At 42.3% G+C, this 21,150-nt stretch overlaps 1 protein-coding gene, 1 long non-coding RNA gene and 1 other non-coding gene across 4 annotated transcripts, besides 2 other annotated features; 2 read left to right on the forward strand and 1 right to left on the reverse strand.

Annotated features, from left to right (window-relative positions):
- Positions 3,186–3,685: an enhancer, noted in NCBI's record as "H3K4me1 hESC enhancer chr15:45716799-45717298 (GRCh37/hg19 assembly coordinates)". NCBI's record gives its function as "activates a minimal SCP1, AML or CMV promoter by ChIP-STARR-seq in naive H9 embryonic stem cells {active_cell/tissue: H9 hESC(naive)}" and the evidence as "EXISTENCE:reporter gene assay evidence [ECO:0000049][PMID:30033119]".
- Positions 9,138–9,217: a silencer, noted in NCBI's record as "silent region_6409". NCBI's record gives its function as "represses an Ori minimal core promoter by ATAC-STARR-seq in GM12878 lymphoblastoid cells {active_cell/tissue: GM12878}" and the evidence as "EXISTENCE:reporter gene assay evidence [ECO:0000049][PMID:35858748]".
- COXFA4L3 (cytochrome c oxidase associated subunit FA4L3) lies at positions 9,195–11,925 on the forward strand. 2 transcript variants are annotated; one of them, NM_197955.3, is made up of 5 exons: positions 9,195–9,240; positions 9,355–9,417; positions 9,586–9,671; positions 10,657–10,717; positions 11,533–11,925. In NM_197955.3, exons 2-5 carry the CDS (start codon positions 9,382–9,384, stop codon positions 11,599–11,601), a joined length of 252 nt encoding a protein of 83 aa, NP_922946.1. In that variant the 5' UTR covers positions 9,195–9,240; positions 9,355–9,381; the 3' UTR covers positions 11,602–11,925. The 2 variants fall into 2 exon arrangements, with proteins under 2 accessions (NP_922946.1, NP_115789.1); NM_032413.4 differs by having other exon boundaries at positions 9,195–9,417.
- Positions 11,635–11,714, forward strand: MIR147B (microRNA 147b). The gene has a single exon (NR_030599.1). It is a non-coding gene; the product is annotated as a microRNA 147b (primary transcript).
- A 128-nt stretch (positions 11,926–12,053) lies between the features above and the next one.
- On the reverse strand, positions 12,054–20,463 carry LOC107987223 (uncharacterized). The gene is made up of 2 exons (XR_001751510.2): positions 20,366–20,463; positions 12,054–12,735 (listed from the first exon to the last, which is right to left on the reverse strand). It is a non-coding gene; the product is annotated as an uncharacterized LOC107987223 (long non-coding RNA).
- Between the last annotated feature and the right edge of the window lie 687 nt (positions 20,464–21,150).

Consider the following 21,150-nt stretch of genomic DNA (forward strand, 5'->3'; position numbering starts at 1 on the left):
GAAAGTGTGTGTGTGTTGATTTTGTTGTAAGGGGTGGTTGGTTTTGGGTGATTGCTTTTTTATTAAACCCTGAAATAATTTCATACTTACAGAAAAGTTGCAAAAATAGTACAAAGAATTTTTATGTGCTCAAACCCAGATTCACTAATCTTTAACATTTTGCCACATTTGCTTTCTCTGTCTTCCCCACCCCTTGTACATATACACATACACACATTTTTTTTTGAGTGGTTTGAGAATAGATTATATACATAATGTCCCTTTCCCCCCTTAATACTTGAGTGTGTATTTGTTACAAATAAGGTTATTATATGACCAAATTCAGCAAATTTAATACTGACACAGTATTTTAATCTATCATCCAGTGAATTTCATGTATGGTCACAATAACGTCCTATATGGTAATTTTCCCCATTACAGGATCCAGTCTAGGATCACACATTTCATTTAGTCACCATGTCTCTTTAGCCTCTTAACTTGAAACAGTGTCTCAATCTTTCTTGACCCTGACATTTTTGAAGAGTATAGACCAATTATTTTATTGAGCAGTTCATTCCTGGACTTGTAGTTGATGTTTTATCATGGTAGATTCAGGTTATGTATTACCAGTCGAGCACTACATAGGGGCATTGTATTCTCAGAGTATCACAGCTGAAGGCACATGACATCTGTACCTTCTTGATAATGTTAATTTTGATCATTTGTTGGCAGTATTGTCTGGTTTCTCCACTATACTGCTATTTTTCGTTTTGTAGTTGTAAGTAGTTAAAAGTTTTTAAAGAGACAGGTTACATGTACATTTCTATTTTCATTTATTACAGAATAATTTAGAATACTAGAAAATACAGAAACAAAAAAAAACCCTTTAGTGTTTAACCTTCCAGTCCTTCATGCATGTATAGATAATTTTTAAAACCAGAAAGGAATGATACTGCATAACTCTTGTTCTTCTCACCTAACAATATCTGGTAAACATCTTACTAGGCCATTCTCCACCCACAAGGTGCTAAGTTGGGTGCTGGAACGTCCAGTGAACAAGGCAGGCATCAGACAAATTGTCAGTGAATTAATTACAATGGTCAGACGTGCTTCAAAAGAAGTAGAGGGTACGATGAGAGACTACTGCATGAAATGTATGAAGTCATAAAACGTTAAGCAGTTATTGGAAAGTTTCCTATTTCTGAGTGCAGCCAGGACTACTGGGAATAATTAAAGAAAAAACGTGATTTGTAGGTATAAAATATTCAATTAAAATAACACACTGACCTTTGCTTTTGAGTAATATGAAAATACCTAGAAAACTTACTGGAATTCTTACTATACATTTTCTTTGTTGGTTATTAATCTTATTGAACAAGGCAGCCATCCTGCACCTGACAAACCCTGGCCTGAACCCCTTAACTCAGACATCTAGCTGTGGGCCCCTGTTCTTTTCCAGAAAGTTTCTAGTAGGCTGGTAATTTAGCAACCATGCTTGTTCAAGGCTGAGCTGATTTGAAGATGTCTTTTTAAGTTGTAATTAAAGTCAGTCCTCCTCATCTGTGGGTTCCACATGGGCAGATTCAGCCAACCATGTGGGTTGAAAATACTTGAAAAAACAAACAAAAACAATACAACAATAAAAAATAGGCCAGGCGTGATGTCTCACACCTATAATCCCAGCACTTTGGAAGGCCGAGGCGGGCAGATCACCTAAGGTCAGGAGTTCAAGACCAACCTGGTCACCATGGTAAAAACCCATCTCTACTAAAAATACAAAAAATTAGCTGGGGCATGGTGGTGTGGGTCTGTAATCCCATCTACTCTGGGACTCAGGTAGGCCCCAGAATTGCTTGAACCCAGGAGGCAGAGGTTGCAGTGAGCCAAAATCACACCACTGCACTCTAGCCTGGGCGACCAAGCAAGACTGTTTCAAATAAATAAATACAAATTTTAAAAAATCACAAATAAAATACAATAGTGTAACAATTACTTGCATAGCATTTATATTATACTAGGTATTATGAGTAATTTAGAGATTTTTTTAAAGTATAACCAGGAGGACGTGTGTAGGCAACCTGCATATACTATACCATTTTATATCAGGGACTTGAGTATTCGTGGATTTTGGTGTCTGAGAGGGGTCCTGGAACCGATTCCCTGCAGATATAGAGGGATGACTGTAACTTCTCAACAGAACATTGAAAGCTTCCTGAGCATAAAGACTATGTGTCTCTTCTCACTGAAATGCTCAATAGATGACAAAATGAGATCAAGAATTTCTTTGATCCTGTTCGAATCTGATTTTAGAATGGCTCTGGACAACTTCCAAAAGCTGTATTCTTGATCTGTGAGAAAATTAAAACACCAGCTTCTGAACACCTTCTTTCTGGTATACTGGGAAGTGTAAACAGTTTTCCCTATAAACTGAACTCAAACTGCTTTCTGGGCCACATTATTGCTTAAGGCTGACTAACCTTAAACAACATAGAACATCCCTGGAACCTCCAAAATTCAGCAAATCCAGTGCTATAAGCCTGGTCATAAGGCAGCCACTGAAGGATGAGGTCAGGATTAACACATCCATCATCAGGAACAGGGAGAAAGAATGTCAACAAAAAATATTTAATAATGAAATTTCTATTTTTCTCAGAAAAGCCTGAGCTGGACTGATTAAATTCCTGGCCAGGCATGGTGGCTCACGCCTGTAATCCCAGCACTTTGGGAGGCCGAGGCGGGTGGATCACCTCACCTGACTCAGGCTGGTCAGGAGTTTGAGACCACCCTGGCCAACATGGTGAAACCCCGTCTCTACTAAAAAAAAAAAAACAGTTGGGCGTAATGGCTCACGCCTGTAATCCTGGCAACTCGGGAGGCTGAGGCAAGAGGATTGCTTGAACCCGGGAGGCAGAGGTTTCAGTAAGCCAAGATCGCACCACTGTACTCCAGCCTGGGCGACAGATCGAGACTCCATCCTAAAAAAAAAAAAAAAAAAAAAAATCTAAATTCCTGGGGTATGAACCAAGCAGCCATGTCTCCATGCCCCTGCAAGCCTGAGTGGCAGTAGCTAGAGAAAGGCTCTACAAGTTGCTGGTAACTGGAGGTGGGTGGGGAAGACCCCCCAAGGGATTATGGGCTCCGGGGCAGCCACAGAGGGTGATGCTGGTGAGTGTCCTGAGTGGGCTGCTTTGGGGGCTGCCAGGGTCTGAAGGGCTGGGAGCTGTGCCTGTTTCTCATCCTGGTCACCCAGGCAGTACTGGCCTGGCGGTGCCTTCTGGGCACCCTGGCCAGTACACAGGGCTTGGGGGCAGGGAGGACCCTAATTTCATGTCTATCCTCTGGTTGCTGGTGGTGAGGCTATGAATTCCATTACATTTTGGAGTGGGAAGTGTTCTTATTGCTAAAGAACTGAATGACAAACTTCTTTTCTGGGGTCTTGCCTTCACAACCTCAGGCAAAAGGGCAGAAAATCTGAAGGTTCTTAAGTCACATACAGTTGACCCTTGAACAACACAAGTTTAAACTCCTTGGGTCCTCTTATAATTAATTATTTTTTAGATGGAGTCTCACTCTGTCGCCCGGGCTAGAGTGCAGTGGCACGATCTCGACTCACTGCAAACTCTGCCTCCCGGGTTCAAACGATTCTCCTGCCTCAGCCTCCTGAGTAGCTGGGATTACAGGCACCTGCCACCACACTCGGCTAATTTTTCTATTTTTAGTAGAGACGGGGTTTCACCATGTTGGCCAGGCCGGTCTCGAACTCCTGACCTCAGGTGATCAGCCTCTTGGCCTCCCAAAGTGCTGGGATTTGCTTGGGTCCACTTATATGTGAATTTTCTTCCACCTCTGCCACACTGAAGCAGTGAACCAACCCCTCCTCTTCTTCCTCCTTCTCAGCCTACTCAATTTGAAGAGATGGAGACCTTTCTGATGACTCACTTCTGCTTAATGAATAGAAATATATTTTCTCAGCCAGGCCCGGTGGCTCATGCCTGTAATCCCAGCTACTTGGGAAGCTGAGGCAGGAGAATCACTTGAACTTAGGAGGCGGAGGTTGTAGTGAGCTGACATCGTCCCACTGCACTCCAGCCCAGGCGACAGAGCAAGACTCCGTCTCAAAAAAAAAAAGTGATATTTTCTTTTTATGATTTTCTTCATTTTTATTTTCTCTTGCTTGCTTTATTGTAAGAACTTTACCTATATAAAAAGCAAAATATGTGTTAGTCAACTGTTTAGATTATCAGTAAGGCTTCTGGTCAACACTGGATTATTAGTAGTTAAATATTGGGGGAGTCAAAAGTTATATGCAGATTTCTGACTATGTGGAGAGCAGGGGTGTGTAAGTTCCCCTAATCCCCAAGTTGTTCAAGGGTCAACTGTACTTGTTTTGGTGACAGTTTTTTATTGTTAGTTTTTTAAGAAACAGGGTTTTGGGCCGGGCGCAGTGGCTCACGTCTATAATCCCAGCACTTTGGGAGGCCGAGGCAGGTGGATCACTTGAGGTCAGGAGTTTGAAACCAGCCTGGCCAACATGGTGAAACCCCGTCTTTACTAAAAGTACAAAAAAAAAATAGCCAGGTGTGGTGACACATGCCTGTTAGTCCCAGCTACTTGAGAGGCTGAGGCAGGAGAATGGCTTGAACCCGGGAGGTGGAGGTTGCCGTGAGCTGAGATCACCCCACTGCACTCCAGCCTGGACAACAGAGCAAGACTCCATCTCAAAAAAGAAAGAAAGAAAGAAAGAAACAGGGTTTTGCTCTGTTGCCCAGGCTGGAGTGCAGTGGCACAATCATAACTCACTGTAACCTCAAGCTCCTGTGCTCAAGCAATCCTCTCGCCTCAGCCTCCCAAGTAGCTAGGACTACAGGCCCACATCACCATACCCAGCTAATTATTAAAATTTTTTGTAGACTGGGTGCAGTGGCTCATGCCTGTAATCCCAGCACTTTGGGAGGCCGAGGTAGGTGGATCACCTGAGGTCAGGAGTTCGAAACCAGCCTGGCCAACATGGTAAAACCCTTTCTGTACTAAAAATACAAAAAATTAGTTGGGCATGATGGGCCTGTGATCCCAGCTACTCAGGAGGCTGAGGCAGGAGAATTGCTTGAACCTGGGAGGCGGAGGTTGCAGTGGGCTGAGATTGCACCATTGCACTCCAGCCTGGGCAACAAGAGTGAAACTCTGTCTCAAAAAAAAAAATAAAATTTGTAGAGTCTGGCTATGTTATCTAGGCTGGTCTCAAATTCCTGGCCTTGAGTGATCCTCCCACCTCTGCCTCCGAAAGTGCTGGAATTGCAGGCCTGAGCCACGGCACCTGGCCAACAGAATTTATTGAGTAAATAATTCAAAATTGCTGCATTTGCCGTAATATTATTAATTGTAAAATATAAATGAGTCACCCAAAGCACAGTGTTATAATTCTTGAATCAGGGAAAGACCAAACTACATATTGACTTTGATATCTCAAAAGCTTGATATACCCAGGCATTATGAAAAGGAAGAAAAGTGTGGCTTTCTGGGTTTAATTTTTATTGCTGCAAATAGGAATAAGATCTTAAAGGTTATATGGGCAAATTATATCTGTAACTAACTACGTATAATTTGTGAATTTTAAAAATGTTTTATTTTAAACATTTCCAAACATACATAAAAGGAAGAGTACAACAAACCCACACATACCTATCACCTACGTTAAATAATTATTATTTTGTAAAATATTCCTAATTTGTTTTTTAGTTGAAGTGTTTTTGTTTCTGTTTTTTTTTTGAGATGGAGTTTTGCTCTTGTTGCCCACGCTGGAGTGCGATGGCGCTATCTTGACTCACTGCAAACTCCACCTCCCAGGTTTAAGTGGTTCTCCTTCCTCAGCCCCCGGAGTAGCTGGGATTACGCAATTACAGGCGCCCACCACCACACCTGGCTAATTTTCGGTATTTTTTAGTAGAGATGTTGGCCAGGCTGGTCTCGAACTCCTGACCTTACGTGATCCACCCACCTTGGCCTCCCAAAGTTCTGGGATTACAGGCGTGAGCCACCGCACCTGGCCTAGTTGAAATATTTTAAAGTAAATCCCAGACATCATAATATTTCTCCCTTAAATATTTCCACATACAAGCTCTGAAAAAGGGAGAGGCCATTTAAAAAATATAATCGCCGGCCAGGCGCGGTGGCTCACACCTGTAATCCCAGCACTTTGGGAGGCCAAGGCGGGCTGATCACGAGGTCAAGAGATTGAGACCATCCTGGCCAACACGGTGAAACCCCCTCTCTACTAAAAATACAAAAATTAGCTGGGCATGGTGGCGGGCGCCCATGGTCTCAGCTACTCGGGAAGCTGAGGCAGGAGAATTGTTTGAACCTGGGAGGCAGAGGTTGCAGTGAGCCGAGATATATATATATTGCAGTTATTGCAGTTATATATATATTGCAGTTATATATATATATAAACTGCAATACTATTATCACACCTAAGAAACTTAACAATATCCCTTTAATATCATCTAATGTCTGGATCCTATTTAAGTTTCCCACTTGCCCCCAAAATGTCTTTTTACAGTTGATTTGTCTTTTTGTATATTCAAATAAATACCCCACCTTTGGTAAGTTTTCTCAGACCCCCTTAGTTAGAATTAATCACCTGTCTTGGCAACAGATCATGCCTTGCATTAGAGTTATTTAGAGTTACTAAATTGCAAGCACCTTGAAGTAAGTGATTTGTGTCTTACTACTCTTTTTAATTCTGCTATGCCCCCATCCTCAGAATAATGCCTAGACTACTAAAAAACTGCATTACATTTTGAAAAGAAATGATACTGGCAAAGCACGGCTCTGTGTTTAAGGTCATTAATAGGCAATGGCTACACATTTTTAATTTCAATTTTGGGCTCATGAAATACTAATGTAAAATTTATTTCTTCTTCTTCTCTCTCTCTTCGTCCTGTTTCTCTTTCTCTCTCCCTCCCTTCCTTCCATCCTAGAAAAACTTCTGTTTCTTAATAACATGAGGTTTTTTTGTAGAATCTTCTGACAGAAGTAGCCTTAGAAGTCTTTCATTAAAAGGCTTCTCTGATTCTAGGTAATACAAACCAAGGAGAATTAATGTTGAATTTTCTTTGAAGTATATAACGTAGATCCATCCAATTAGCAAATGTCTCTAGTTACAGTTCTGGGGTTAAACAGTAAGAACGCTTGCCAGAGTAAGGGAGTGGGAAACTACATTTATGATCAGCCTTACATAAAACAAATCTTTGAGGCTGGGCGTGGTGGTTCACACCCATAATCCCAGCACTTTAGGAGGCTGAGGGGGGCGGATCACCTGAGGTCAGGAGTTCAAAACTAGCCTGGCCAACGTTGCAAAACCTGTCTCTACTAAAAATACAAAAATTAGCGGGGCGTGGTGGCACATGCCTGTATTCCCAGATGCCCAGGAGACTGAGGCATGAGAGTCGCTTTAGCCCATGAAGCAGAGGTTGCAGTGAGCCGAGATCACACCACTGCACTCCAGCCAGGGTGACAGAGCGAGACTCTGGCTCAAAAAACAAAACAAACAAAAAACCAAATCTTTGCATATAGTAACTATTTGTTGAGTGCCTACTACAAGCAGGACAGAATGCTTTACATATATTCTAACATTTTTTCCAACTCTCTCCCCTGCCAGGTTTGCCCCCATTTTGCAGATATATAAACTGAAACTCATGAAGGTTAAGTAGTTTACTTAAAGTCAGCTATTAATAATAAGTATAGCAGGGGCAGGCTCTGAACTCAGGTCCATTTGACTACAAAACCCAGGTTTAGAATGAAAATGGGGTTGAAACACAGCAGGGTCTAGCCAATTTCAGGGAACGTTAAGATGTTGCCTTTTAACTTTAACTTACAGCTTGAACTTCAAACTGTTTGTTTTAAAATAACTGGTCCTTTACTTATTGCAGTATTTAACAGAGGGGTGCAGACAGAACCATGGTGTTGGGCACCAGACAGACCTGCGTTCTGATGGCATCGCCGCCACTTACCAGTGACGTGACCAGAGCCTCTCTGAGTCTTAATAAGACTTTGCACCCACCTTGCCGAGGGGAATCTGGCTCAGTGTCTGGCACACACACAGCCCCTGGCTCTGTGAAATTGTTACCATTGCAGCCGCCTGCAAACTGCAAAGTGAGGTTGCTGGCTTAGAGGAGAGTTAGGAGGGAACCCAAAGACTAAACCAGCCGGCAGGGTCGTTTGCAGAAAGACCTTCTCCTGACAGCCTCCCCAGCTTATTCTTTTGTTTGTTCTCCCTCGACCTCGGGTTTTTGTTTTATTGTGTTTATTTGTTTGTTTTTGTTTTTTTGGGTTTTTTTTTTAGCAGAAAAAGTCAGGACGCCCTGGGAGTTATTCTGAAATAAACTTTACAATTTAATTTTAATGATCTCCATAGGTGCACAGACCACATTTTGGAGCTTTTAATGTGATTGGATTAATTCTAATTTACCCGCCTGCACCTGGGAGCCTCTCCTGGGACCCTCCGGTCTGCAGCTCATTTTTCCGGACCCCCTTTTATTGTTTATTTGCTTATTTAAATATTTTGTTTTATTCTATTTTATTTAAAACAGGGTCTCGCTCTGTTGCCCAGGCTGGAATACAGTGGTGTAATCTTGGCTCACTGCGACCTCAAAGGCCTGGACTCAAGCGATTCTCCTGCCTCGCCCTCCTCAGTAGCTGGGACTGCAGGCATGCAGCACCACGCCCGCTAATTTTTTTTAGTAGAGACGTGGTTTCGTCACGTTGGCCAGGCTGGACTCGAGTGATCCTCCTGCCTCAGCCTCCCAAAGTGTTGGGATTACAGTCCTAAGCCACCGCGCCAGGCCCGGATACCCTTTTAGAAGGGTTGGCTTTCCCTCAGGCCTCGGCTATCTGCGCTCCCCTCTTAGGGGGTTCCACCTCCTACTCCCCAAACCTCCAAACTCCTCACAAGCACCTAGGGGGGCCAAGAGCGACCGGGGTCGGCAGGTAAGGAAGACCGCGGCGAGCGGCAGGGGGCGCCAGCGCCCGCGTTCGGGCGCTTCACGTCAGCCGCAGAATGTCCTGCAGGGGGCGCCCGGGAGTCGCGTGCCCAACGGGGAAAGCGAGTCAGGTCCCTCGCGCTCCCCGCCCCACGCGCGTGACCAGAGCGCGCTGGCCCGGCCCACCCGGGGCGGTTGTGGTCGCTATATATAAGGTGGGGAGGCCGCCGGCCCGTTCGGTTCCGGGCGTTACCATCGTCCGTGCGCACCGCCCGGCGTCCAGGTGAGTCTCCCATCTGCAGAGACGCGGACGCGCCGGCCCGCAGTTGGCCTGCGGAGCGCGGTGGACGGTTTGGCGCCCACCAGGCGATCAATACTTTGGATTTTTAATTTCTAGATTTGGCAATTCTTCGCTGAAGTCATCATGAGCTTTTTCCAACTCCTGATGAAAAGGAAGGAAGTAAGTTTTAAAAACAATTGAAAATCTTGACTAAAGTTTTCATTTTTAAAGATGAAAAGATGGCACAGATTTTGAACAAAGTATAAAATAAATACAGTTGTTTTGCTGTGTTTCAAATGTTTCATATTGAAGTGTCCAAATGTGTCCCCTCCACCTGTTATTTGTTAGCTCATTCCCTTGGTGGTGTTCATGACTGTGGCGGCGGGTGGAGCCTCATCTTTCGCTGTGTATTCTCTTTGGAAAACCGATGTGATGTAAGTAGGTCTCAATTTATAAAAACGTTTTTGGCAGTGTTTGGATGACTTTTAGTTTATGAAATGTATAAGTTTCCTATTTTTTTCCCATGGATGAGAATGCCAAATTGTGAACTGGGAGTCAGGGTTAAAAAGCATCTTTTATCAGAAAACTCTTATGATATTGTCTACCAATGGGTCAGAAAATGAAAATTAGAAAAAAAAAAGAAAAAATTTAAAAAAACCCATGATATTAATCAAATTAGTTTATTTCTTGTGTTTATTCTTTTACCCATTGGCCCTTCTCCACTCTCTGGCAGTGAAGTAAAGCTTGTTTTTTTTTTTTTAAGTTTTGAAATTTAAAGTTCTTCAGTGGTTTTGGGAGATATATATCATGAAACAATCATTTTAATTAAAATTTTAAATTTTAGCTTATTAGATTTTTACTAATGTGGTAGAATTGATAGATTCAGTTGTCTACGATGAACCTAATCTCAACTTTGGGTAGAAGAAAGTAAAAAACAAAAACATGTATCCTGGAATATGAGGAAAAGATAAACTTGAAACTGTTGGAGGCTGGTGCAGGGCTGGAGAGGGCAGTCCTCTAACCGCTGGCAGAGGAGCCTAGAGCCCTGGAGTTCACCACCTGCAGAGTTCAACCTGCCCCTCCCACAGACTGAGATAAGAACATTATTGCATGTCCTTGGCTTGGCAGTTTCACTCCCATGGTTATTTGGTTTGTGGGATCCTTCCCCAATGCAGCCCAATCAAGAGAATACAGACCTCCTACCCTTTAGGGGAACTGATGTTTAATGTTTGAGCCACACCATGAAACTCCCTTAGAGAATTTTCAATCAATTTTAGTTGCTACTGATGGTTCCTGATCATTAGCAGACACATGCCTTAGTATGAGACTGGTTTTGTCCCTAACATGTTTATAAACCCAGTATCAGTGTTGGTTTAAATTCACATCTTTTAATGTTTAATTGGCTTTCTTTAATTTTAGCCTTGATCGAAAAAAAAATCCAGAACCTTGGGAAACTGTGGACCCTACTGTACCTCAAAAGGTATTGTTAAATTAAAAACAAATGATTTATATTTTGCCCAAACCTTAGCACCTTTGTGAGCAAAATAGATTTAGTACCTTACCCTTATTGTGTAACTTAGATCAATTGTGCCTTCATCGAGTAATTAAAATGAGGAAATTTTAAGAGCCTACTCTATGCCAGGAGCATTGTCCATCCACTCATGAGAAGCATATACACTTTTGGAACTATGGCTCACATAATACCTGGCAAACTTAAAAATCTGGATACCGGCCAGGCACGGTGTCTCACACCTGTAATGCCAACACTTTGGGAGGCCGAGGCGGGTGGATCACTTGAAGTCAGGAGTTCGAGACCAGCTTGGCCAACATGGTGAAATTCCATCTTTACTAAAAATACAAAAATTAGCTGGGTGTAGTAGAACGCACCTGTAAACCCAGCTACTGGAGAGGCTGAGGCACGAAAATTGCTTGAACATGGGAGGCGGAGGCTGCAGTGAGTTGCAGTTGTGCCACTGCACTCCAGCCTGGGCAACACAGCAAGACTGTCTTAAAAAAAAATCTGGATACTGCTAAGTGAAAGTAGGGCACATGTGTTTGATCTTTCCCTCTGATCTCATAACACTTAGGAGCCCAAGGGCTTTGTAAAAAGATGGACTGATAGAAACCAGCTCACATTACTATTTTGTGCATGTTTTAGATATGGAAAGAGGTAGGTACAAACACAATGGTGATGCTTTTTCTAAAGGGGAGTGTGGACAAATCCGAAAGAGGGACATGCAAATGAAAGTCAAATTTTTAACAAAAGGTTTTTTTTTTTTCCTTTTTTCTCTTCAGCTTATAACAATCAACCAACAATGGAAACCCATTGAAGAGTTGCAAAATGTCCAAAGGGTGACCAAATGACGAGCCCTCGCCTCTTTCTTCTGAAGAGTACTCTATAAATCTAGTGGAAACATTTCTGCACAAACTAGATTCTGGACACCAGTGTGCGGAAATGCTTCTGCTACATTTTTAGGGTTTGTCTACATTTTTTGGGCTCTGGATAAGGAATTAAAGGAGTGCAGCAATAACTGCACTGTCTAAAAGTTTGTGCTTATTTTCTTGTAAATTTGAATATTGCATATTGAAATTTTTGTTTATGATCTATGAATGTTTTTCTTAAAATTTACAAAGCTTTGTAAATTAGATTTTCTTTAATAAAATGCCATTTGTGCAAGATTTCTCAAAGATTAGGTATATATTTAAATGGAAGAGAAAATATTTTTATGGGAGAAAAATACATTTGAACCATGAAATTTCATCTTTTAAATAACATCCAGTACAGATTTCTGTGTAAGCTTTTTTTTCCAAGTTCATTCATTCACTAGTAGTTTATTGAGCATCTACTATTTGCAGTATAGCTAACAAAGCCAAAATTTGGTGGGATACGAATAAAAGATGGTAAGTACAATGAGGAAAATGAAGTGGGGATGAGGTTGGAGACTCGCATGAGGACTGACCTTGGAGGAAGTGTAGGATTCTGGAGATGAATTGGAATGCAAGGCATACTGAGATCTGCCCTAAAGATGCCAAGCCAGGCTGGGCGCGTGGCTCACGCCTGTCATCCCAGCACTTTGGGAGGCTGAGGCGGGCAGATCACAAGGTCAGGAGATTGAGACCATCCTGGCTAACACAGTGAAACCCCGTCTCTACTAAAAATACAAAAAATTAGCTGGGCGTGGTGGCGGGCGCCTGTAGTCCCAGTTACTCGGGAGGCTGAGGCAGGAGAATGGCATGAACCCGGGAGGCAGAGCTTGCAGTGAGCTGAGATCACACCACTGCACTCCAGCCTGGGTGACAGAGTGAGACTCCGTCTCAAAAAAAAAAAAAAAATGCCAAGCCATACTGTGATGTTCCTGTGGAGGCTAGGGAGAGGAAGATGGGGAGCCTTGCCAGCGCTCTTCAGAGTTTGGGGCCACTCTTCCCTCTGGCCAATGGTAACTTGAAGGCTGAAGATACATTCATATCCAGCATGCCGCTGGGCTCCCCTGCCTGTCCCTAAAAATGAAATAAGAAGAAAGTTGCTTTTCATTAACTTTTTTTAAAAAAATGGAGATATAATTCACATGTCATAGTATTCACCCATTTAAATTGAACAATTCAGTGGTTTTTAGCGTATTCACAAAGTTGTGCAACCATCTCCATCTACTTTCAGAACATCTTCCTTACCCCAGAAAGAACTCTGTACCATTAGCAGTCATTTCCCTAGTCCCAACCCCTCTGCTCCCAGCCCCAGGGAAATACTAATAAACTGTCTCTATGGATTTGCCCATTCTGGACATCTCATGTAAATGGAATCAGGCAATATGTGACCTTTGGGTTTGGCTCCTTTAACTTGGTATAGTGTTTTTAAGAGTCATCTATGTTGTACCATGTTTATATTATCAGTATTTCATTACTTTTTCTGACAGTACTCTTCCAGTGTAAGGATATGCCATTTTTGTTCATTGGTAAGTTGATGAACATTTGGGTTGTTTCTACTTTTTGGCTATTATGAATAATGCTGCTATGAACAGCCATGTACAAATTTTTGTGTGGCCATATATTTTTGGTTCTCCTAAGTAGGTACCTAAGTTCGTTAACTTTTTTTTTTTTTTTTTTTTTTTTGAGACAGGGTCTTGCTGTGTCACCCAGACTAGACAGGCTGGAGTGCAGTGGCACCATCTCATAAACTTTGCCTCCTGGGCTCAAGCAATTCTCGTGCCTCAGCCTCCTGAGTAGCTGGGATTACAGGCATGCACCACCACCACACCTGGATAATTTTTGTATTTTTAGTAGAGGCAGGGTTTTTGCCATGTTGGCCAGGCTGGTCTTGAACTCCTGACCTCAAGTGATCCAACTGCCTGATCACTTGAGGAAAGGAGTGATCCCTTCCCTCCCCATTGGATCATGGCTAACACCCCTATAACAAAAGACAGGTTAACTAGAAAAAGCATAACACACTTATAGTTTACTTGACATGGTAGCCTTCAGAATGAAGACCCAAAGATATAGGGAAAACTGTTCATTTTTATGCTTATGTTCAATGAAAAGTCGATGTAGAAATATGATTGGACATGTAGAAATATGGACAAAAAGGATATGGTCCTAATGCTATCAGAATAGACTACATGGGGAAGCTCACCAAGGCCTGTCTGCAGCATTTCCTTCTGCTGGGTGTGGGGGTGGGATCCCTCTGGAATGAGTGTCTTAATTTCTTTATGGCCAGCTGTTACATAGAAAGGTGGGGGAAATTTAAGAGCAATATATTTAGGTTTTATGGCTGGCTTTCAGGAAACGGGATTCTGGCTTCTATGGCCGGTCTTGGAGAAGAGGAATTCTAGTTTCTATGGCTCACCTGGGGAAGAATCAGGGTCAACAGACAGGAGGGCAGAGAAACTTTGCTTCTGCGGCCTTCATTTGGGGTATCATTTTTTGGGCTCCAGCGTTACCTTCACAGCAATAACAAATAACTAGGTTTTGCCAGGAACTTGGCAACTCTGAGAGGATTAAAGCAAGACTGCTGCCAACTTCTGTTGCTTCCTTATCACCTCAAGTCGTCTCAGATTAAAGTCTCTGATAGTTGATCTCAAGGAATTACACGTAGCAATTGGGAAGCACATTTTTATTTGCTTAAGCTTCTAAAGTCTAATGTAATGTCATTTGCACAAATAAAAATTAACGGTTGGTCAACTAAGAGAGCAAAGTATAGAGTGTTTTTCAAGGGATGACTGTGGCTTTCAACTTTAAAACACAAACCTGATTGAAATGTGGTGGTGTGAACATGGCAATGGGAGGTACTTTTCTGCAGGTTTAGGAGGGAGAGAGGCCAAAAGCAATGTTGATGCTTAAATTTCAAAAGATTTGGGTTTTGTTGTTGTGTTCTTAGCATTTCCTTCAAACATTTTATTTTGAAATTTTTCAAATATGCAGAGAAGTTGAAAGTTACTCACACTTCTTATCAATTAACATTGTGCCACATTTGCTGTATCTCCCTGTGTATGTATGCTTTTCAAAAATTAACTCGTTGAGGCCAGGCACAGTGGCTCATGCCTGTAATCCCAACACTTTGGGAGGCTGAGGCGGGCAGATGGCTTGAGCCCAGGAGTTTGAGACCAGTGTGGACAACATGGCGAAACATCTCCACTAAAAATGCAAAAATTAGCCAGGTGTGGTGGCACACACCTGTGGTCCCAGCTACTTGGGAGGCTGATGTGGGAGGATCACCTGACCCTGGGAGGTCAAGGCTGCAGACAGCCTTGATCTCACACCACTGCACTCCAGCCTGGGCAACCCAAGTGAGACCCTGTCTCAAAAAAAAAAAAAAAAAAAAGTGTTGAGAACAAGTTACAGACATGAGGCTTTTTTCCCTAAAAATTTAAGCATGTACTCACTGCCTAAGATAAAAGACATTGTAGCTGACTAGAATACCATTATCATCCCTAAGAAAGTTAACATTCATTCAATAATATCACCTATCATAAATATGATAGTGATATCATAAATATCACCTTTTTTTCCTCTAATTGTCTCAAAAATATCCTTTATATCTGTATTTTAAAATCCAGAATCATCTACTCCAAGGTTTACTTGTTGCATTTGTCTAAGTTGTACTGAGTACTTGACTGACTTGTGGTCATGAAAATGACTCCAAAGCAGCTTTTATAGAACGGCCATCTCTACAGATAACGAGAACATTACCCGGATAACATTCTCTTACATGCAGACTTTACAATTTTTTATTTACAATCTAATAATGATGTATTTTCATGTAGTTTATAAGAGGTTGTACAATTGATGAGCACTCACTATGTGCTAGACGCTGTGCTGGCCTTGAGGCTCTTACAGCTTAGGAAAGGGATACACACATGTAAACAGCATGAGAGCAATGCCAGGACAATAAAGCAAGGACAGGAGTAGGCACATGGTATGAAGGAAAGCTTCCCAAAGAAGGTGGATCCCTGAAAGTCTACTTCGGCTGATTTCTTGAAAAAAAAAAAAAAAAAATCATCATCATTACAAGTCAGCAAGGCAATTGAAGTAGAGGCACATTTTTACCAAGACAGAGCCACCTAAAGTAGCATGGTGTCTCTTGGAAACTTGGAGTAGATTAATACAGGGAATTTTTTTTTTTTTTTTTTTTTGAGACAGGGTCTCACTTTCATTGCCCAGGCTGGAGTGCAGTGGTGCAATTACAGCCCACTGCAGCCTCGACCTCCCCAGCTCAAGTGATCCTCCCACTCAGCCTCCTAAGTAGCTGGGACTATAGGCTAGAGACTGAGTTTCGGCATGTTGGCCAGGCTGGCCTCAAACTCCTCGCATCAAGCAATCCTCCTGCCTTCGCCTCTGAAATTGCTGGGATTACAGGCATAAGCCATCCTACCTGACCAATACAGAGTATTTTTAATATTAAGAGAGATAATTGGAGAAAAAGAAGTAGGTGGAATGTGTAGGACATTTGTGCTATTATCTTCCAGGCACAAAGGAACCAGAAAAGGATTTTAAGTTGAGGGAGGAGGTAATAGTCTACTGCCAGGGGTGTCCAATCTTTTGGCTTCTCTGGGCCGCGTTGGAAGAAGAATTTTCTTGGGCCACACATAAAATACACTAACAAAATCACAAAAAAAAACCAAACTCAATGTTTTAAGAAAGTTTACAAATTTGTGCTGGGCCACACAAATACTACTAAAATAACAACTACAAAAAAAAAATTAGCTGGGTGTGGTGGCGCACGCCTGTAGTCCCAGCTACTCAGGAGGCTGAGGCAGGGGAATTGCTTGAAACGGGGAGGTGGAGGTTGTAGTTAGCCAAGATCATGCCACTGCACTCCAGCCTGCGACAGAGTGAGACTCCACCTCAAAAAAAAAAAAAAAAAAAAAAAAATGGGCCAGTTCAGGCCAGGCGCGGTGGCTCACGTCTATAATCCCAGCACTTTGGAAGGGTGAGGCTGGGTCACTTGAGATCAGGAGTTTAAGACCAGCCCGATCAACTTGGTGAAACCTCATCTCTGCTAAAAATACAAAAATTAGCCCTGTGTGGTGGTGTGCGCCTGTGATCCCAGCTACTCAGGAGGCTGAGGCAGGAAAATTGCTTGAACCTGGGAGGCAGAGGTTGCAGTGAGCTGAGATCGCGCCACTGCACTCTAGGCTGGGCAACAAAGTAAGACTCTGTCTCAAAAAAAGAAAAAAGAAAAAAAAACTGGGCCAGTTCATACCTGTTTAGGTTAGTAGTAATGATTACTTACAGGAGATAATAGCTATAAAGTACCTAAAATGGTGCTTAACATGGACTAGCTGTTCAGTAAGTATTCCCTTCTTCCTAAAGAAAAAAGATTATCCCTGTAATAACAGCACCTTGGGAGGCTGAGACAGGCAGATTGCTTGAGCTTAGGAGTTCGAGACCAGCCCTGGGCAACATGTGAAACCCTGTCTCTACAAAAAATAAAAAAATTAGCTGGGTGTGGTGACGCATGCCTGTGGTGCTATTCGGGATGCCGAAGTGGGAGGATTGCTTGAACCCAATAGGTGGAGGTTGCAGTGAGCCGAGATTGCACCACTGCACTCCAGCTTGGGTGACTAAGCAAGACCCTGTCTGAAAAAAAGGAGGTTATCACTATTAAAACTGCCGTATGTGTTTAGGATTACATTCCATGAGTGGGAGCATTGCGTGTTTCAAATCCATGCATACCCAGCTCTGTTTGAAATCTATGCATACCCGAGGACTCCTGGCCCATCTTTGGTTCACAACGCCCCAGTTACAAACCTTTTAGACAGAGTGCACACACAGCTGTAGATAAATGCATCCCATATTCACTCTCACCTACGTAGATACCTAGCTTAAAATAAGAACCCCTGCACACATAACACATATAGATGATCTCACAACCAGAAAAGACATAACAAAAACATACATATCTCCTTAGAAATAAGGCCCGGCATGGTGGCTCACAATCAGTAATCCCAGCACTGTGGGAGGCCGAAGCGGGCAGATCACTGCAGCCCAGGAGTTCGAGACCAGCCTGGCCAACATAGGGAAACCCCATCTCTACTAAAAATACAAAAAACTAGCTAGGCGTGTTGGCGCATACCTGTAATCCCAGCTACTCGGGAGGCTGAGAATTGCTTGAACCCAGGAGGTGGAGGTTGCAGTGAGCCAAGATTGCACCGCTGCACTCCAGCCTGGGTGAGAAAGCGTGACTATTATCTCAAAAAATAAATAAATAAATGTGCATATTTTAGTAATTACATATATTCTCACATTCAAAAGTAACAATCTGTGGTTTGAATAAGGAAATGAAGTTGAGTGCATGTACCTAAGATAGCGGTAGGAATTTTCAACCTAAAGAAGGACACTGAGGCAAAATTAACAGAGAGAATTTATTGGGGCCAAGGTTGAGAACTGCAGCCCGGGACACACTTCCCAGTTGCCTTGCAGAGTGCTCCCGCCAGGGTTTGCTGCAAGCAGGTTTTTAAGGGCAAAGGGAACAAAAGGTGGTCTGACAAAGTTGTTTGACAGGAGTGCTCCTTGGTTTATAGAAACAACACTGATTAATGATTAACTGTACATTGTTGAACTATAGGGTATGCACGATGGTGTCCAGTGTATGGCATTTTATGGCTGCTTGGCGTTAGTCTAGAGCCCACATAGCAAATGGCTTCAAGAGGTAGTCACTTAGCTCAAGGATGTGACTGCTGTCACACTCTGTCACATTTCAATGCCTCTCTGGGCCTGATAACTAAAGCATTCCTCAGATAAAAGTTTATTTTCTTTCTCGGAATGGAATTAGTTTTTCTAGTATGATTGTCCCTTAAAATGTCTTTTTACCATGCTTAGAAAATTGCCTCAGATAATTACATCATTTCTCTGTAGAAACTAAGGCTGTTTTTTGTTTTTGTCTTAGTCATGTTTGACTATATCAGTTGCCTGTTTGTACACTACTTAGCTTTAAGATGAAAATTAGAATAAAATTAAGGAAAATCCCAAATGTTATAATTCTTGCAGACATGTTAAAACCAACTTGCTCATTCACTTGGTGAATATATAATAAGACATTATATTACATATATTACATGTATAATAGCCTATTGCTTATTTGGAGAGTGGGCATACTATTTTAAAAAATAAGGCCAGTGGCTGGGCATGGTGGCTCATGCCTGTAATCCCAGCACTTTGGGAGGCTGAGGCTGGCAGATCACCTGAGGTCAGGACGGGGTTCGAGACCAGCCTGGCCAACATGGTGAAATCCTGTCTCTACTAAAAATACAAAAATTAGCTGAGTGCAGTGGCATGCACCTGTAATCCCAGCTACTCGGATGGCTGAGGCAGGAGAATTGCTGGAACCTGGGAGGCAGAGGTTACAGTGAGCCGAGATCGTGCCATTGCACTCCAGCCCAGGCCAACAACAGCGAGACTCTGTCTCAAAAAAATAAAAAAATAAGGCCAGTCTTAGTGGCTCACGTCTGTGATCCCAGCACTTTGGGAGGCCGAGGCGGGTGGATCACCTGAGGTCAGGAGTTTGAGACCAGCCTGGCCAACATGGTGAATCCCCGTCCCTACTGAAAATACAAAAATTAGCCGGGCGTGATGGTGCATGCCTGTAATCCCAGCTACTCAGGAGGCTGAGGCAGGAGAATTGCTTAAGCCCAGAAGGTGGAGGTTGCAGTGAGCCAAGATTGCGCCACTGCACTCCAGGCTGGGCAACAGAGCGAGACTTGGTCTCAAAAACAAAAACAAAAACAAAAAAAACTCAACTTTTTTGTATTTACATCAAGTAATATATATGATGTTTTCTAAAGTGTGTGATCACAAAGTTGATACTATTCCTTGGTGTATATTAAGGCTCTATTGCTGCAGGCAAGTTAACCTGACTTATAATGTCTTTGGTTATCCCAATTCTCCTTAACAAAAATGAGAAATGGATTTGAGAAATGAACTAACACCACAAGGCAAATGTGACCTATTGTTTGCATATTAATTTGGAGACTATTTCATTGAGTCAACCACTGTATGTTTCCCACATTTTAATTGTGCCAGATTTTTTAAAAAGTAGTGCCATTTGCTTTTAAAATTATTATTTAAAAATTATTTAATTAAAAAATAATAATGTTTAATTACATAAAATTAAATTGAGTTAAAATAGCATTTTAATTTGATAATTAAAAATTACTATTTTAAATTGAGATGTAGTTTAGATACAATAAAATGAACAGGCCTCAGTTGTTCAGTTTAAGGAAGAATTTTGATGGAATAGTCATGCAAAACTAGCTGTGGAATGTTTCTATCACTCCAGAAAGTTCTCTTGTGGTGCCATTTAAAAGGATGAATTTTATGTGAATTATGTCTCCTCCCCTCACCCCCCACACACAAATTTGACCCACATTTACCTGCTGTGTCACTTCCAGAAATAACAGAGGTTAGCATAATTTTTTAATACCATATAAAGTACCTGACTCTTCTGTGTGGGAAACACATGAAGGGAGAAGAAAAGACACACACACAATACCTTTAAGGGTAAACAACCTTTATCCCATGTAAATGGCAATGCAGATATAATAAGCAAATGATATAATAATAAACAGTTAATAAGCAGATTGATAGAATAAGCAAATTGCAATGGGAAGGGAAGAAGGGAAAAGATATTTACACTTACCAGACTATGGACGATTCACCACCAGACTGGGAAGCAATAGCCTGGGCTCCAGTGTTGGCCACTCGTCTGTGCAGACGAGGAGAGGTCTCATGAAGCTTAGGCGCAGTCTGGAACTCTAGCTTCTTTGTAACTAGTTTTTTGGCATGAGGCCCAGTCATGAGGGCCCTTCCTGACTGAGCTCAAGGAACACAAAAAGGTGAACTTGTTTTGTGATTGTCTATTGTTTTTCAATAACTAACGTATAGGAATAGATTGAAATAGAGATTTCTCCGAAACAGTGCGGATGAACGTCTCAAGGGGCTCACACAACCTGTTCTGGGAATTGGTGATCATTGTTTTTGTCCATGTTTAATTGAATTCAAATTTAATATTTAACTTTTCCTCCACACCGACCCCACATATAACATTCAATTTACTTTTTTCCTAAAACAGAAAATTGGGAGTTCCTGAACATTGTAAGAAATACACCAGCCGGGCACAGTGGCTCACACCTGTAATCCCAGCACTTTGGGAGGCTGAGGCGGGTGGATCACCTGAGGTCAGGAGTTCGAGATCAGCCTGGCCAACATGATGAAACCCCATCTCTATTAAAAATACAAAAAATTAGCCAGGCGTGGTGGCATGCACCTGTAATCCCAGCTACTCAGAGGCTGAGGCAGGAGAATCGTTTGAAACCAGGAGGCAGAAGTTGCAGCGAGCTGAGATCATGCCACTGTACCCCAGCTTGGGCAACAAGAGCGAAACTCAAAAAAAAAAAGAAAGAAAGAAAGAAAGAAATACACCAA

Source organism: Homo sapiens, chromosome 15, assembly GCF_000001405.40.
Source record: "Homo sapiens chromosome 15, GRCh38.p14 Primary Assembly".
NCBI classification, from domain to species: domain Eukaryota; kingdom Metazoa; phylum Chordata; class Mammalia; order Primates; family Hominidae; genus Homo; species Homo sapiens.